Source organism: Homo sapiens, chromosome X, assembly GCF_000001405.40.
Source record: "Homo sapiens chromosome X, GRCh38.p14 Primary Assembly".
Taxonomy (NCBI): Eukaryota; Metazoa; Chordata; class Mammalia; order Primates; family Hominidae; genus Homo; species Homo sapiens.
The window spans coordinates 105,714,624-105,732,603 of record NC_000023.11 but is presented as its reverse complement, the minus strand read 5'-3'; the positions used below and the strand labels follow the sequence as shown (position 1 = coordinate 105,732,603).

The 17,980-nt window shown below is 35.8% G+C and overlaps 1 protein-coding gene and 1 long non-coding RNA gene across 6 annotated transcripts in view; one reads left to right on the top strand and one right to left on the bottom strand.

The window, feature by feature from the left end:
* Positions 1–17,980, bottom strand: part of IL1RAPL2 (interleukin 1 receptor accessory protein like 2) — a 1,201,631-nt gene that overhangs the window by 35,226 nt on the left and 1,148,425 nt on the right. For both annotated transcript variants that reach the window (NM_017416.2, XM_011530905.3), the window contains one exon: positions 15,108–15,237. In NM_017416.2, the coding sequence (NP_059112.1) occupies positions 15,108–15,237 (130 nt within the window). The remainder of the gene's footprint in view (positions 1–15,107; positions 15,238–17,980) is intronic.
* LOC105373303 (uncharacterized) overlaps positions 1–17,980 on the top strand; it is a 135,721-nt gene that overhangs the window by 64,749 nt on the left and 52,992 nt on the right. For 2 of the 4 annotated variants that reach the window (XR_938493.3, XR_007068300.1), the window contains 2 exons: positions 7,101–7,246; positions 15,171–15,330. This is a non-coding gene — a long non-coding RNA (uncharacterized LOC105373303). Of the gene's footprint in view, positions 1–6,770; positions 7,019–7,100; positions 7,247–15,170; positions 16,424–17,980 lie in introns of those variants that run through there. The other 2 variants (XR_001755938.2, XR_007068299.1) reach the window with 2 other exon arrangements.

Sequence of the window (17,980 nt, the reverse complement as noted above, 5' to 3'; positions counted from 1 at the left end):
GTTTTATTGGCTCACCGTTCCACAGGCTGTACAGAAGCATCTGCTTCTGGGGAGCCCTCAGGCAGCTTTTACTCACAGGGAATGGCAAACACAGAGCAAGGCATCCTCACATAGCAGGAGTAGGAGGAAGAGAGGGGTGGGGAGGTGCACACTACACACTTTAAACAACCAGATCTCACAATAACTCACTCACTATCATGAGAACAGCACCAAAGGGATGGTGCTAAGCCATTCATGAAGGACCACTCCCATGATCCAATCACCTCCCACCAGCCCCACCTCCAACAATGGGGATTACAATTCCACATGAGATTTGGTGAGTACAAAGAAGCAAACCATATAACATGCTAAGAGAGAAGAAAAAATAGAATAATATAAAATGCTCAATTAAAACCAGAGAAGGCAGAAAAAGCATGGAGAACAAAAAAGGAAACAAATAATAAGAGCAATGAATAAAAAAACTGTTATAAATATAGTAGATGTTTAACCAGCTATATCAATATCACTTTATTTTCTATTAATACGTAATATTTTTAATTTATGTTGTACATTTAATATTTTGTTACATATACAGAATGTGCAATAATCAACTGAGGGTATTTAGGATATCCATCACCTTGAGCATTTATCATTTCAGTGTGTTGAGAATATTTCAAGTCCTCACTTTCAGCTATTTTGAAACATATAATTCATTGTTGTTAACTACAGTCACCCTTCTCTACTACTGAACATCAGAACTTATTCCTTCTATCTAACTATATGTTTGTTTCCATTAACCAACCTCTCTTCCTCCCCCAAGCCCCACACTCACATCCTTCCCAGGCTCTGGTAATCATCATTCTAATCTCTACCTTCATGAAATCAATTTTTTTTACTTCCTACATATAAGTGAGTACAGGGCTTATTTCACTTAACATAATGACTTCGAGTTCCATCCATGTTGCTGCAAATGACATAATTTCATTCTTTTTATGGCAGAATAGGATTCCACTGTGCAAATATACTACATTTTCTTTATCCATTCACCCATTGATGGACACTTAGGTTGATTCCATATTATTGCTATTGTCAATAGTGCTTCAATAAACATGGGGGTTCAGGTATGCCTTTGAGATACTAATTTCATTTTCTTTAGATAAATACCCAGTAGTGGGATTGATGGATCATATGGTACTTCTCTTTTTGTTTTTTTAAGAAGTCTTTATACTGTTTTCTTTGTTGGGAGACGTTACTGATTCAATCTCATTACTTGCTATTGGTCTGTTCGGGTTCACTTTCTTTTTTATTCAATCGTGGTAGGTTATATTTATCCATGAGTTTATCCATTTCCCCTAGGTTTTCGGGTTCATTAGTACATAGTTGTTCATAGTAGTTTCTGATAATCTTTTGTATTTCTGTGGTATCAGTTGTAATGTGTCCTTTTTCATTTCTAATTTTGTTTATTTGGGTATTCTTTCTTTTATTCTTGGTTAGTCTAGCTAGTGGTTTATCAAATTTGTTTATTTTTTCAAAATAACTTTTCATTTTGTTGATCCTTTGTAGTTTTTGAGTGTCTATTTTGTTTAGTTCTACTCTGATCTCTACTCTTTCATTCTACTAATTTGGGGTTTGGCTTGTTCTTGCTTTTCCAGTTCCTTGAGGTGCATTGTTAGGTGGTTTGTTTCAAATCTTTCTACTTTTTGATGTAAGCATAAACTTTTAACTGTATTTACTACAAATTTATACCTATAAACAAGTAATGCTTTTGCTGTATCCCACAGGTTTTGGTATGTTTTGTTTCCATTTTCATTTGTTTCTCGACTTTTTAAATTTATTTCTTAATTTCTTCATTGACTCAGTCGTTGTGCAGGGACATGTTGATTAATTTCCATGTATTCCTACAGATTTCAAAGCTCCTCTTGTTATTGATTTCTAGTTTTAGTCCATTGTGGTCTGAGAAGATACTTGATATGATTTCAATTTTAAAAAATTTGTTGAGACTTGTTTTGTGTCCTAACATATGGTCTATTCTTGAGAATGTTGATGTGCTGATGAGAAGAATGTATATTCTGCAGCTGCTGGATGAAACATTCTGCAATTGTCTATTAGATCCACTAGGTCTAAGGTGCAGTTTAAATCTAATGTTTCTTTGTTGTTTTCTGTCTAGATAATTTATTTATTTTTGAGAGTGGAGTGCTGAAGTCCCCAGATATTATTTTATTGATGTCTATCTCTCCTTTTAGATCTAAAAATATTTGCTTTATATATCTGGGTGCTCCTGTGTTAGGTGCACAAATATTTGCCATTGCTATATCCCTTACCAAATTGATCACTTTATCATTATATAATGACCTTCTTTGTCTCTTTTTACTGTTTTTGACTTAAAGTCTGTTTTATCTGATATACATGTAGCCACTTTTGCTTACTGTTCATTTCCTTTTCCATGGAATATTTTTTCCATCCCTTTACTTTTAGTCTATATGTGTCTCTACAGGTGAAATGTGTTTCTTTTAGGCAGAATATATTTAGGTTACTTTTAAAATTCATTCAGCCAATCTATATCTTTTAAGTGGGATATTTAATTTGTTTACATTCAAGGTTATTATTAATATGTAAGGACTTATTCCTGTCATCTTGTAATTACTTTCTGGTTGTTTTGTATTATTTCCTTCCTTCCTTCCTTCCTTCCCTCCCTCCCTCCCTCCTTCCTTCCTTCCTTCCTTCCTTCCTTCCTTCCTTCCTTCCTTCTTTCCTTCCTTCCTTCGTCTCTTGCTTTTTTATATTGTGGTTTGGTGGTTTTCTGTTTTCTGTACTGGTAATATTTGTGTTCTTTCTCTTTCTCATTTGTGTGTTTGCTGATAAAATTTTAGACACAACGACAAAAATGTAGTCCATGAAAAAAACAATTGATAAGTTGGACTTTATTAAAATCATAAACATCTGTTTTGTGAAAAACAGTTGAAAGAATAAATAGCTAAGCCATAAAATGGGAGAAAATATATGCAAAACATATACAGATTAAGAAACTTCTACATGGAATTCACAAAAACCTCTTAAAACTCAACCATAAAAAAACTAACAACCTAATTTAAAAATGGGCAAAAGTTCTGAACAGACACCTAATCAAAGAAGATACACAGATAACAAATAAGCATCTGAATATATGCTCAATGTCATATGTCATTAGGGAATTTTAAATTTAGACAATGACATACACTACACACCTATTAGAATGACTGAAACCCAGTATTACTGACAACATCAAATTTTGGCAAGGATGTGAAGCAATAGAAATTATCATCCATTGCTGGTGGGAATGCAAAATGGTACAGCCACTTTGAAAGATATTTTGGCAGTTACTTAAAAAGCTAAACATTGTCTTACAGTATGATGCATTAATCATACTTTTTATAGCTACACGAAAACTTGCACAAGTGTTTATAGCAGCTTCATTCATAATTGCCAAAACTTGGAAATAACCAATATGTCAATCAATAGGTAAATGGGTAAACAATTGTGGTACATCCAGACAATAAAATATTATTCATTGATAAAAAGAAATTAACCATCAAGCCACAGAACTACATGGAAAAACCTTAAATGCATATACTAAGTGAAAGAAGTCAGTCTGAAAAGGCTACATACTGTAGGATTCCAAACGTATGACATTTTGGAAAAGGCAAAACTATAAAGACTATAAAGACTAAAAAAAGATCATTGGTTACCAAGAGTTTTTGAGGAGAAAGGGAGAGATGAATAGACAAAGCTCTGGGATATTTAGGACAGTGAAACTATTCTGTATGATACAGTAATGGTGGATCCATGATATTTTACATTTGTCAAAAACCATAGAACTGTATAACACAAAGAATGAACTCTACTGTCAACCATGGACTTTAACAATAATGTATAGTGTTTCATTAATTGTAATAAATGTGCCACACTAAGTCAAGACATTAACAAAATGGGAAACTGGGAGAGGCAAAGGGGCTATATGAGAGTTCTCTGTACTTTCTGCTCAACTCTTCAAAAAAAAATGTATCCTCTTATCTGTTAACTTCTTTGTAACCCTAAAGCTATTTGTGAAAAATAAAGCTTATTAAATAAATAAATCTTCTTTGCCTCTTCAAAAGGTGTTTTACTGGAACTACTTGTTTATGGTGTGCTGTAGCTTTAATTTTTGTACCACTAGCAACTAGCATGGTGCTGGTAGCATTAAGAAAACTCAGTAAAGGCACATTGAATAAATGAATGCATTTTTTAAAGTATTTTGTCATGAAAAGACATGTAGGAACCTTAAATGCATATTACTAAGTGAAAGAAGCCACTCTGAAAAGGCTATGTACTGTGTGGTTTCAACTATTGAAATTTCGGAGAAGGCAACATTTCGGAGACAGTAAAAAGATAAGGAGTTGCCAGGAGTTCTGGGAGAGGGAGAGATAAATAAAGTGGAACACAGAAGATTTTTAGGGCAGTGAAACTCATCTGTATGATACTGTAATGGTGGATACATGTCATCATACATCTGTTGAAACCCATAGATGGTACAACATTAGGAGTGAAATCTAAATGTAAACTATAGACGTTGGGTGATCAGGATGTGTCAATATAGGTTCATGGATTACAACAAATGCACCACTGTGGTGCTGGATATTGATAGTGGGGGGAGTCTTGTGGGTAATGTGGGAACTCTGTACTTTCCACTCAATTTTGTTGTGAACTTAAATCTGCTCTAAAAATTACAGTGTGTGTGTAATGCTAGCAAGACACTATATTAACACATTTTAGTACAATTCAATGCCATTAAACAGATGTTTTAAAAGTTATATATGCCTGGCAATGTGGTAAGCTGGGAAGTATTAATAAACAAATACCGTCTCAAACTACTGTGCATTATTTCTCATTATTGACTTCCTCTAATAAATTTAACTAAGGCAATAAAAGGAGAAAGTAAACAAGTAAATACTTTATTAGCAGGCAGATTCCAAATTACTTTCCAGTTTCTTCCAGGGGACATGCTACTTTGAATTTTTTATAAAGATGTTGAACTGCCACCAGAGAGTTTATACTCTTCAATATCTGCCCATATCATCAATATCACTACTAGCACTTCTGCTGTCCTCATTATCAAAAAGTACTTATTTGTAAACAGCAATCTGCTCTACCAGACATTGTACTAATATTTACATGTAGGTGCTCCCTGCTGTCCTAAAGATCATAAACTAAAATAAGCAATGCTGAAGGGAATGATAACATAACATTCAGATAAGAACACAAATGCAATGAAATTTTAGTGAAATCTTGGTTAGTGGAATTGCTCAGGGATGGAAATTCTGGCTAACTGAATTTTCTGTTCACCTGAAATTTAAATAGAAAGTCCTGTTGGTTTCTTAATTGAGGTAAATAATTATAAAATTTCTAAGACCAATTTTCATTCATCGTAAATGGTCCCTTGAAGTATTCTGAGTCCTCCTTTGATGGCTAGGTGTCTTGCAGAGTTTCTGGGTCATTATCCTGAGTATGAGTAATCATTGTCCAGGAATGATGATTGATAAAATTAAGGATGGGAGGTATGTTTAAAAAAATTAAAATGTTCAATTAAACAAGATCTCTTTCTTGGTGTTATTTGCTCCCCCCTCCCCATTAAAGCATTATTACTCCAAGTCCAGCATCATGCCCAGAGTCTGACAAAATCAGATTTATTGGCTCAATGCATTGAGGGAGGGGCATTCTAGAGGAACTATGGATTAATCCTTGATTGAAGGAAGGAAGAAAGTTTTGTAATGTTTACATTTACAGTGAAAGATTCTGATGAGGTTTTAGGGAAGCAGGGGTAAATCCTGGATTGGTTGGAGTTTCTGAGGCAGGATTGGAAAAAATGGGGGTTAACTAGGGACTGGGTTCTCTTATGGGGCAAGGATAGCTTAGCAGTTGGGTATCCCTGGTAGTTAATGTAAGCAGCAAAGCAGGTTTGGGGCATCACTGGTAAGAAAGCAGTAGTCACTCAAAGGAGGAGGGGGTCATTATGGCATTTTACAACTGCTGCATGACCTTGGGAGAAACAGTGTTTTCTGCTAACTTTGCAGCTGGCTTTATCTGTCTGTCCTCCCAGCCTGATTAATAGCAGGGCTGCTTATTCTCAGTCCACACTGATTTTCACTCTTTCAGTCCCCGACAGATTTTGACTTTTTATAGTCTAAATCTGGAGTACAACAAAACATTCTGGACAATTGAGGATTCTTGCTAGCTTTGATGAATTCAGTCTAGCCCTATAGGAACCCTCAATCACTAAAGGGCAGCAGCTCTTCCTCAGTCTCTAAACTTCAGTTTCTTTATCTGCAAAATAAAGCTAATAGTATTTATCTCAGATGGTTATTATGAGTATCCAATATGTTTTAAGATGTGAAATGCTTTTGCAATATGCAGTGTACTATAAAAGGATGAACTGGAATTATTATTATTATTATTTACTAATTATAGGTTTTTGTCTAGAGTAGCTTACAACCCAACACAACATAGTTGAGACTGAGCATCTAAAATCTGCTCAATAAATGAAGAGAAACAACAAACATGTTTTAGGTAGGCTTTTAGTATTTTATGCATAGATCAAGGATAAGACCAACCCTGGAATCATCAATAGTATTCACCACTCCTTCAAAAATGTACCTTTAGTTAACTAGAAATTAAGGACGGCCCTAGGTAAAACTATGCTGTTTATAATGTGTACATTCACATACAGGTGTGATGAGATTTGAAACCTATTTAAATTAAAGCAAAGTGATTGATCTGTATTTCTTCTTCCAGTAGGATGAGCTGAGAGTAGAAGAAAGGAAAATACTTTTTTGAAGCTCAACTTTGGGAAAACCAAGGACATGTGGGGTCCTTCAAGACATTAAAAATTGTGTGAGAAGTTGCCAAAATACATCTCATCATTTTCCCTAGGACTGCCTGGGAGTCCAATTATTTCCTCTGTATTTTAGGGACAAACAACATATTCACAGCTCCATATTGCTTTTTAAAAAGAGTGGGTCATTATTAGGTTAGTTTTGGTCTTTAAGATAGACTCACCTTATTTTAAGAATAAAAATTTTCATGCTTATATCACCTTCCCTCTTTATTAGAGCATTTCAGTCATGCAAGGAGAGGATGTTAAGGTAAAGGAATGAAACCGAAGACCAGAAAGTGGTAAAAAGCAGCAGTGAAGAAACCAAAACTAAAACAAACCAGCAAAGACCATATTCAGCTCACAGCCTTTCAGGAACTGAAGGTAAATAAAATTATTTGCATTTTAGTAAGCTTTTCTGAAAACCTTAAGATAAATTGAATATGTTTTTCAGGTCAAGACTTAGAAAAGATTTGGTAAACTGTTTTATAGTATTGCCTGAGGAAGAAAACATTAGGTATTGATAGGGCGATTTGTAAAGTGAGATTTATAATTGAAAATGACTCTCTGTTGGGACAAAGCAATTGTCTTGAAATTCGTGGAGTCTTTTTTGACAATCAGATGCAATGCGTAACCCTGTAGGCAATCTATAATACTATTATTTCTTATTTAATAGGACTGGTTCAATTTTTCTGACTTTTTAAATTAGCTATGTAGAATACATACCTCACTAGCAAATTCCTTAAAACAAAATTCTCAAGCCTCTTGTAAGATTGATTAGAAGGAAGTTCTGTAGTGGTACAGGACTGAGGTGGCCTTCCTAGAATCATTATCCCCAAAGGACATTGTGCGGGTACTCTCTGATCCTCCTTTGCAGCAGTTCCCATTAAGCTTTAACAGAAGGACAGAAAGTAAGAAGTCTTCCCCTTATGATTCCTACTAGGTTTCCTCGAAATAATTATTTGACTTCTCTGAATAAACATGGTAGAGCTTGGCAGAGAGCAGATTGTTGGAATGATTTTAAAATTGTAGAAATAAATAACCAAACTTGTACAATTACATCTTATGTTACTGCACACATAAAATTATTTTACCATCTCTATAAATTATATCTTCTGGAGTTAGTGAAAGGGTTGTGATGCAGTTGTGTGGGATAGATTAGCAGTTGTGAATGGTTACCACATTTGGGTTCAGATTTCCTTGTGGCTTAGTCTCTTAGCAACATCAGAGGCATGGGAGAACTGTGCCAATCTCTGCTTAAAGGGAGATAAAGGGGAATCTGTATGCCCAAAGTGGGGTCTAAGTGCTTTGGCAATGGGCTGAAAATCAGGAGAGGCTCGGGACCACAGTGGTGAAACTGACCCAGAGAGCAAACAAATGAGAACTCCAAAATGTTAGACAGGATTTGATCTAAAATGCTATTCAAGCAGCAGGGGAAATGCTGAGTACAGATGTTATACTTACTGAAGTCCAAGTGACATTATCTCATCAAGCTCTCAGTAAATATCTAAGCTTTTTTTTACTAGGTATTGTTTTAAGTCCTCTATTCCTCTGTGGCAAACTAAGAAATAAAAAGTTGTAACACACATTTCTAGGATCAAGCTGCTGCACAGGAAATTGAGAACCTAGGCAGAGGGGCTAGTTCTCCTGCCAGACCCAGTGCTTCTGGGGAAGCTTCTCCACAAGTCAACTGCCTGAGAGCTATTTATTTACATCCTCACTGCTTGGTTATATTACACAATGCAATTTTGAAATGTGTGCACAACACAAGAGCTATGATTCAATTTTTAAATGGGCCCAAAGCAATGCCCTTGCTATGGTCTAAATGTTTGTGGTCTCCCAAAAATCATATGCTGTCACCTAATATCCATCGTGATAGTATTAAGAGGTGGGGCCTTTGAGAAGTGATTAAATCATGAAGGCTCCCCACTCATGAATGGGATTAGTGCCCTTATAAAAGAAGCATGAATGAGTTCCCTTGCCCTTGTTGCCATGTGAGGACACACAGAAGGTTCCATCCACGAGGAACAGGCCCTCACCAGACACTTAATCTGCCAGCACATTGATCTTGGACTTCCCAGCCTTGAGAACTGTGGGCTATAAATTTTTGTTGTTTTTAAATTACCCATTTAAGGTATCTTGTTATAGAATCCCAAATGGACTAAGACAAAAATTGGTGCTGACAGTGGGGTGCTCTGGTTAAAAAAAATACCAAAAAATGTGGAATGGCTTTGGAACTTTGTAATGAACAGAGGCTGGAATAATTTGGAGGAGCAGGCTAGAAAAAGCCTATATCAACATGAACTAACTGTAAGGAGCAATTCTGGTGAGGGTTCAATAGAAGAGGAGAACTGTAGAGGAAGCTTCAATCTTCTCAGCGATTACTTAAGTGGTCATGATCAGAATATTGATAGAAATATGGACAGTAAAGGCCATTTTTATGTGGGCTCAGACTTACATGAGAAACACGTTATTGAAAACTGAAGTGAAGGCCATCCTCGTTATAAAGTGGCAAAGAACTTGGCTGAATTTTCTTCATGTCCTAGTGCTTTGTGGAAGGTAGAACGTGTGAATGGTGCAATAGGATATTTAGTGAAAGAAATTGCTAAGCAAAGTACTGAGGGTGTGGCATGGCTTCTCTGGATTGCCTATGGTAAAATGAGAGAAGAAAATGAATTAAAGATAAAATTTATAATCAAAAGGGAAGCAGAATTTAAAGATTTGGGACATTCTCAGCCCAGCCATGTTGCAAAGAATGAAAGAGTGTGTTAAATAGGGAACACCAAGAGTGTGGCCAAGAAAACGTTTGATAAGATTAGTATAGATATAAGGAAGCCAGAGGGTATTCATTAGGACGATAGAAGAAGGAATTCTAGAGATTTTCAGGGCTACCCCAGCCATCACAGGCCCTTTCCAGACACTGGATCTACAGGCATCTTGATCTTGACTTCCCAGCCTCCAGAACTTTGACTAATACATTTCTGTTGTTTATAAATTACCCCAGTCTAAGGTATTTTTTAACAATGTCCTGTACAGACAGAGAGAGCACTGAATAAGGGCCATGCATCCAGAAATAAATTTTGTTTCTAGAAATGCCTTTGAGAGGAATCCCCTAATTAAAAATTCTCAGTATTCTGCCGTCAGAACTCTTCCTTATGGAGAAAATATATGGGTTATGAAAAAATGTGAATCTTCTCTTGGTTCACCTAAATAGTATGATTAGCAATTTTTTTCTATTAAAATGCTGGATTTGTTCCAATTTGCTGTGCTGTATAAAATCTTGTATGCTTTGTTTCAAGGACTTTGGAGGCTAGAAGACATGGTTAATTAGTTCCTGTATTAGCATAAATGGCTCTAGACTGAAAGAATTATAGAAACCACACAAGCTTCCAAATAGATCATGGATCACACAAGACATATGAAGTGGAATGATGACATTTTAGTCAATGATATATTGCATATACAAAGGTAGCCCCATAAGATTATAACACTGTATTTTACTGTACCTTTCCTTTGTTTAGATATATTTACATACACAAATATTACCATGGTGTTACAGTTGCCTACAGTATTCAGTACAATAATATGCTGTACAGGTTTGTAGCCTAGGAGCAATAGGCTATACCATATAGATTAGGTGTGTAGTAGGCTATAATCTAGGTTTGTATATGTACACTCGATGATGTTTGCACAATAATGAAATCACCTAATAATGTATTACATAGAACGTATCCCCATCATTAGGCAACTCCTGACTATATTACAAAATGAGTGACTGTATCTTAGCCAGGCATGGTGGTATGTGCCTGTAGTCCCAGGCTGGGAATTTCTGCCTTTTTGTTGGCACTTCTATGAAGGTGACTTTAGTTAGCTAGTAGGGTCTTGTGAAATTTTCAAAATAAATTTCCTGGAACTTTCCGTCACTGCTAATATAGTTATTTTACTGGGGGATTTGGTGGAGAAACAGGATGTAACAAAATCAGTTAAACAATGTCATTTTGCAAGTCCTGAAAGGTTGTCTTCCTATAGCATTTCCTAGCTGGTTGACTCATTTGGCCCCTAATATGGTGGCTTGTTCAGGATTTATCCAACTCATGTATATATGTTTTGTCTCCCACCAACTCTAATCATTTGCTGCTGGAGAGAGTAGCAGTGCCTCACTTTTCTTTTGTAAAATTATAACCAGTTTGGAATACAGTTAGGCAGATTCTTAAAAAGTTAAATAATCCTGCAGAACAAAAGGGATAGTACGCAAAAACTAAAGAAAGGTGTGTAAAGAAATGTCTTTAGTTAATAACAATGTATTAATTTTGATTTTTTTTTTTGAGATGGAGTTTCACTCTTGTCACCCGGGCTATAGTGCAATAGCATGATCTCAGCTTACTGCAACCCCTGCCTCCCGGGTTCAAGCAATTCTCCCGTCTTAGCCTCCCGAGTAGCTGGGATTACAGGTGCCTGCCACCATGCCCAGCTAATTTTTGTATTTTCAGTAGAGACGGGGTTTCACCATGTTGGCCAGGCTGGCCTTGAACTCCTGACCTCAGGTGATCCACCCACCTCGGCCTCCCAAAGTGCTAGGATTACAGTCATGAGCCACCGCTCCTGGCCCATTCCTTTTTTATTGCCAAGTATATTCCATTATATGACTATACAACAATTTGCTCATCTATTCACCTGTTGATGGACATTGGATTGTTTCCAGTTTGGACGATTATGAAGAAAGCTGCTATGACCATTCATATACATGTCTTTGTATGCACATATATTTCCTTTTCTCTTGCCTGAATACCTAGACATGAGCAGTATTCTTATGGTACAAAGGTACCATAAGAACCTAAGATGTCGATAATTGGGGAAACGGGGTATGGGGTATATAGGAACTCTATATACTATCCTCATGATTTTCCTATAAATCAAAAATTATTCTAAAAAAGTTTGTTTAAAAATGATTTAAATTTTATTTAAAGAATAAACTAAAAATTAAATTTATGTCTACTATATAATTCAAGCACACCATGTCTAGCTATTCAGGCAAGAGAAAAGAAAATATATGTGCATACAAAGATATGTATATGAATGTTCCTAGCAGATTTCTTCATAATAGTCCTAACTGGAAACAACCCAAATGTCGTCCATCAACAGGTGAATAGAAGAGTAATTTTTGTATAATCACGTAATGGAATACTATTTGGCAATAAAAATGGTATGAACTATTGACACATATAACAAGATGGGAGAAATCTCAAAATAATTGTGCTACATGAAATAATCCAGAGCAAAACAAGTGCCTATTGTATGATTCTGCTTATATAAAATTCTAGACAAGGCAGACTGATTTATAGTGATAGAAGATCCCTGTTGTTGGAGAAGGGCGGGAGGGAGGGATTTCAAAGGGGCACCAGGAAACATGGGGGTGATTAATATGTTATCTTCATTGTGGGTGATGGTTTCACAGGTGTACACATATATCAATCCGCCCTTACAAATTGCATACTTTAAATTGTGTGATTTATTATATGTCAATTATACTCTGATAAAGCTGTTTATTTTAAAAGTTACATGCAGTCACACATACAAAAAGGGAGATTATTACCTTAGGCTCATATAATTAGTACCTTTGATCACAAAACATATCTCTGAGCTTTTTGGTGATGGAACTTCTGCTACTAACTATATACTAGTGTACCTATCACATATCCATTTTGGGACCAGTTTCTTGTTCTGTAGAATGAAAAGTGACCCTTAAGGTCTTTTATACACAGATACGTTGACAGTAATCCTAAATATGTATCTTCTATAACAATTTAAAATGAATTCAGTTGTATTGATTTCAAATAAATATTAAATTAAAATTGCCTAATAAAGTGTTACTAATTACAAACTTCAAAGTACAAATGGCAATTAATACTTTAGAATCATTTGTAATATATCCATTATTTATTTCTGAAAATCTGTTCTGTGTCAGGCAATTAATTTCAAGGGTTTTTTTTTTTTTAAGAAAAACAGCTTTATTGAGATAAAATGTATATGCCACATAATCTATCCATTAAAAGTATACAATTCTTTGTTTTCTAGAATATTCACAGATGTGAAACTATCACTATGGTCAATTTTATAATATTTTCATTATCTTATAAAGAAGCCCCAGACTGCTTGATGGGTACAACGTTTCCTTTTAGAGTGATGAAAATGTTCTGGTACTATAAAGTGGTGGTGGTTGTATGAATTCTGAATGTACTGAATGCCATTAAATTGTGAATTTTAAAATGATGAATTTTATATTATGTTGTGTTCTATCACACACACAAAAACACACCCATACACTTTAGCTATCACATCTATATTCCATTCCTCCCCACTGGCGCTAAGCACCCAGTAATCTATTTTCTGTTTCTATAAAGTTGCTTATTGTGGACATCTTATATAAATTGAATCATATAGTATGTGTTTTTTTTGTTTCTGGCTTCTTACACTGAGAACATTTTCAAGGTTCACTCAGGTTGTAGTATATGCCAATATTTCGTTTTTTATGGTTAAATAATATTCACTGTATGAATGTACCACATTTTATTTATTCATTCCTTAGTTGATAGACATTTAGGTTGTTTTCATTTTTGTCTATTATGAGCAATGCTGCTATGAACATTCATGGACCAGTTTTTTGTAGATATATGTTTTGATTTACTTTGTTTATATCCCTAGGAGGGCTATTCCTACCAGCAGTATATGAGGTTTCCCATTTCTTCATATCCTTACCAACATTTGTTATAATCTGACTTTTTTTTCTGAGACAAGGTCTTGCTCTGTCACCCAGGCTGGAGTGTAGTAGAACAATCATGACTCACTGCCACCTCAACATCCTGGGCTCAAGTGATGTGCCCACCTCAGCCTCCCAAGTAGCAAGTAGCTGGGACTACAGGCACATAGCACGATGCCTGGCTAAGATTTGTACATATATATGTATTTTTTCTTGGCAGGGAAGCGGGGAGAGACAGGGTTTTATCATATTGCTCAGGCTAGTCTCAAACTCCTGAGCTCAAGCAATCCACCCACCTTGGCCTCCCAAAGTGCTGGGATTATAGGCCTGAATAACTGTGCTCAGCCTATAATCTGACTTTTTAAATTATAGCCATCCTAGTGCATCCTAGTGAGTATAAAGTGGTATCATGTGGTTTTGGTTTGCATTTCCTTGATTACTAAACATGTCAAACACCTTTTCATGTGTATTTTGCCTAGAAATATGCTCCTATAGTAAATATTTTGCATAGACTCTTAAGGGGTTCACAGACCTTCAAAGTTATGAACCCCTAGAAAAGAGTTATTGGGTAGACACATGGAGAGAAACTGTCATGAGAGTAATTATAAATAACATTTAAACATAGTAAATAATACAAAGCATACTTGTCTCATTTATGCTGCTCTATATTCAATAAGAAAACTGAAGGAATAAACTTTAACATTAGTTATACTGAAATTTTAGATTAATTTTCACTGCATGATTCTTAATGGGAGTGAAGAGGGAAGAATCCCAATTCCTATCAGAATCAGGAACATACACTACACATCATCATCTCTGAAACCAAAGAGAAACCTCACAAACTGAGTGAGGCGAGAAAGGTTACCTATATTTTTATATCTTTTTTGTACAAATGAGAAAGTACTAAATAGAATTAGAAAACCAATAGAATTGGTATCTATAAACCAGAGAATTATTTGTGTAACAGGAGAGTGAAAAGAGGTCTAAACATGTACTAAATTGAAGGATCAGTCTTTTCAGGATAAGTATTAGATGTTGGGAAAAATAAACAGTATTCAACAAGAGTTAACAGTTATTTTGGCTGAAGACCAGCTTACCATTGCCACTGCAGTTTTACACTTATGACATATGAAGGTTGTCTGTTCCCAGGTAGAAAATAAACAATTTGCCCAGTGGTCTGAGGAGTCACCTTCAAAGACTGGACCTTTGCTGTGACTGTTGGAGTACCAGTGGTTTTAGCTTTAGAAACTCAAAGGAATTTGCTTAGGCAGCTTTTGGAGGGTCATTATACCCTGGTGACATAATCTTTAAATGGGAGAAAGACCTACTTATGTTAGAAGCTTACACATTGGCATTTCTTAAGGCAGTCATCCTTGGTCTCTCCATAAGATCAGCTTTTAGAGAATGGAATGATTTGGAGTTGCAATTAAAATCCTGAGCAGAATCCCGTAAGACAGCAAAGAAAGATAAGCAATTCAAGCTCTCTACCTTATTTCACCTTCTCTAATGTGACCTGCCAGTTCTTCAATAAACTTTTCTCCTTTCATCCAGTAGATCATTGGCCCAGACTCTCCACTGAATCCGAAGAATGCTTTGCAGGGGATGTTCAGAGGCTTACCTGAGAATGAGAGAAAAAGAAATGAGCAAATGACTCCTGATTATCAGTGGGAGACAGGAAGCGACCATTTAACATCCAAAGGAAAACTCAGAGGTGACCCAATTTTCAACTCTTTTTCTAGTCATCTTATCATTGTACCTGGGAAAAATTTTAAATAGTTATGAGGGCTTCTAGAAAAAAACTTAAATTCAAAGTATAATCAAAAGTGGGAATACAAAGTTACTCAGTTTTCTGTTTGTTTGTTTTTGAGAAGGGGTCTGACTCTGTCACCCAGGCTGGAGTGCAGTGGCACAACCACAGCTCACTGCAGCCTTAACCTCCCTGGCTCAAGTGATCCTCCCACCTCAGCCTCCCAAGTAGCTGGGACCACACAGGGTCTCCCTATGTTCCCAAAGCTGTTTGTTACACAGGTTTTAAAACTGTTTATTTTTGCTGCCTCCTTCTTATGAAATAATACGAAAAAATCAAATGAAAAGACTATCTTTTTTGTTTATTTTTGAGAATATTAAGCACTGCTAACTTGAACTTGCCCTTGAAACTAACATTAATCAAAAGTATAAGTAAATTTTTGGTTGGTGAGAAGACGTATCATAATATACTCTCCACTGTTATTAAGATTACACAGAAATTTGTTTATTCTGATTTTTACATGTTTTAAGAAAAATTAGGTAATATAAACTATAATGGTTATTTTTAGGTGTCAAATTGACTGGATTAAGAAATATTAATACCTAGATAGCTGGTAATGCATTATTTCTGGGTATGTCTGTCTGGGGTTTCCAGGAAAGATTGGTATTTGAGTTTGGTGGCTGAGTGGCAAGATCCACTTCAGTGTGAGTAGGAAGCATCCAAGTGGCTGTGGGCCTGGATAGAACAAGAAATCAGAATGAAGGCACTGTGTAAAATGGGGCCTCCTTGAGGTGGTCTATCAAAAAATGACTGCTCTTTTCTTGGCACTACACATAAGGTACTGACTATTGCTGCAATTTCTCCTGGGAGGAATGTTTTTACTCTCCCATTAAACAGGTTCTTGTTAAATAAACACAAGAGACAGATATTTTTGTAAAGGCCACAGATAACCATCACTGCCCTTTTCTTGACAAACAATTTTTCTCCATTCTGTTTTTCTCTTTAAACAATTTTCAACCTCTTTTAAAGTCTCTATTAAATTGTCCTATTATCTCTACTTCTTGGTATGCAGTTTTTTTTTCCATTGTGTCAAGGGAAGCAACATCATGGTGGTTAATTTTCTTATGAGGTTTATAATTTCATTGCTGTATTTTCATCTACAGCAGGGATTGTTTTCTGTGGTAGTCCCACATGCTGAGGGTTATAGAGGAATTCCCTTAGAGAAGTTCCAAGGTTGCTTCTACCAAGGCCCTACAAGTTTCACTGGTTTGGAACCAGTTTTTCTGTCAATTTCTTTGCTTGGGGGCTTGTGTCATATATGAGTTATGTGAATTTAGAGTCCACACCCATGCTTGGTACAGGTTTAGAGTTCCAGTTTCTCTTAAATGTTTCCTTGGATTCATAGCTATGGCCCTGGAGTGAATGTGAATTTTCTGTACACTTTCCTGAATCAATAAGCAGAGTTTTCTAGGCCCCATTTCATAGATTTCAGGGTTTGTAAATCATTCAGTTTTCTAGATTTTTGCTGGGATCTGCTCTAACTCCATACTTCACATAGATCCTAAACTCAAGCCCATGTACCCTGAATATCCACATTTGGTTTTGATATCTCCAGGAGATCTTCAATTTCAATTTATACTCCTTTCTCTTACTTTGAGCTCCCTATTTATCACTAAGGCCTGAGAATTTCCCTTACTTGCTTTCCAGCTGGGCTAAGCATGTAAATTATTTGCCTTATTTTGACCAGCATTTCTCTGTAGTTAGAACAAGAGGTGATCTTTACCATTTCAATTCATTCTACCTTATTGACTAGGTGCCTGAAATTCTACCACAAAAATCTATAAATTGTGTATCTTTGTCCTACGTAATCAAGTTAATTTTAATTTCACCAGTCTTACCAAGGAGTTAAACATAGAGTTTATATTAATGTTACTGTTAATGTATCCTTTCTTCCCTGGGCCCACACTTTGATATGGCCTTTCAACATAAGATAAAAAGAAGAATGGATAGTTGTGATGCCAATGTGAAAACTAATCACCTTCCTGCTGCGCTTTATGTATTTAACTTTGTAGCTTCACCTTTCAAGACGTTTATTTCTTCCTTAAGATAATCCACAATCAGGGCACAAATCTTTTATCTGTATTTGTGAGAGTGCCCTGAACCACATGCTCTAGTCTAGCAGGCCAGTGTCAGAACACATGGAACACTGGAGCATGCTACTTTCAGTTGTAAGACATATTTTAAGAAGATTGTTGCTAATAATGGTAATAATGAAGTTAACGAATTAGTTATTTAAAAATTTACAGGAGAGCTGAAGTCACCATTATATTATGTCACTCTTACACATATGCATTCCAGTATACTTCTTTTTGAATGGGAGTTAAGGGGTAAAGTCATAACTTGTATATGAGGCATGTTTCATTGTTATGGTTTGAATGTCCCCACCAAAACTCATATTGAAATTCAATTGCCAATGTAACAGTGTTGAGAAGTAAGACCTTTGGAAGATAATTAGGTCATGAGGGCTTTGCCCTTATGAATGGAGTAATGTTATTGTGGAACTGGGTTAGTGTTTTCTGAGAGTGGGCTTCTGAGAAAAGGATGAGTTGAGCTG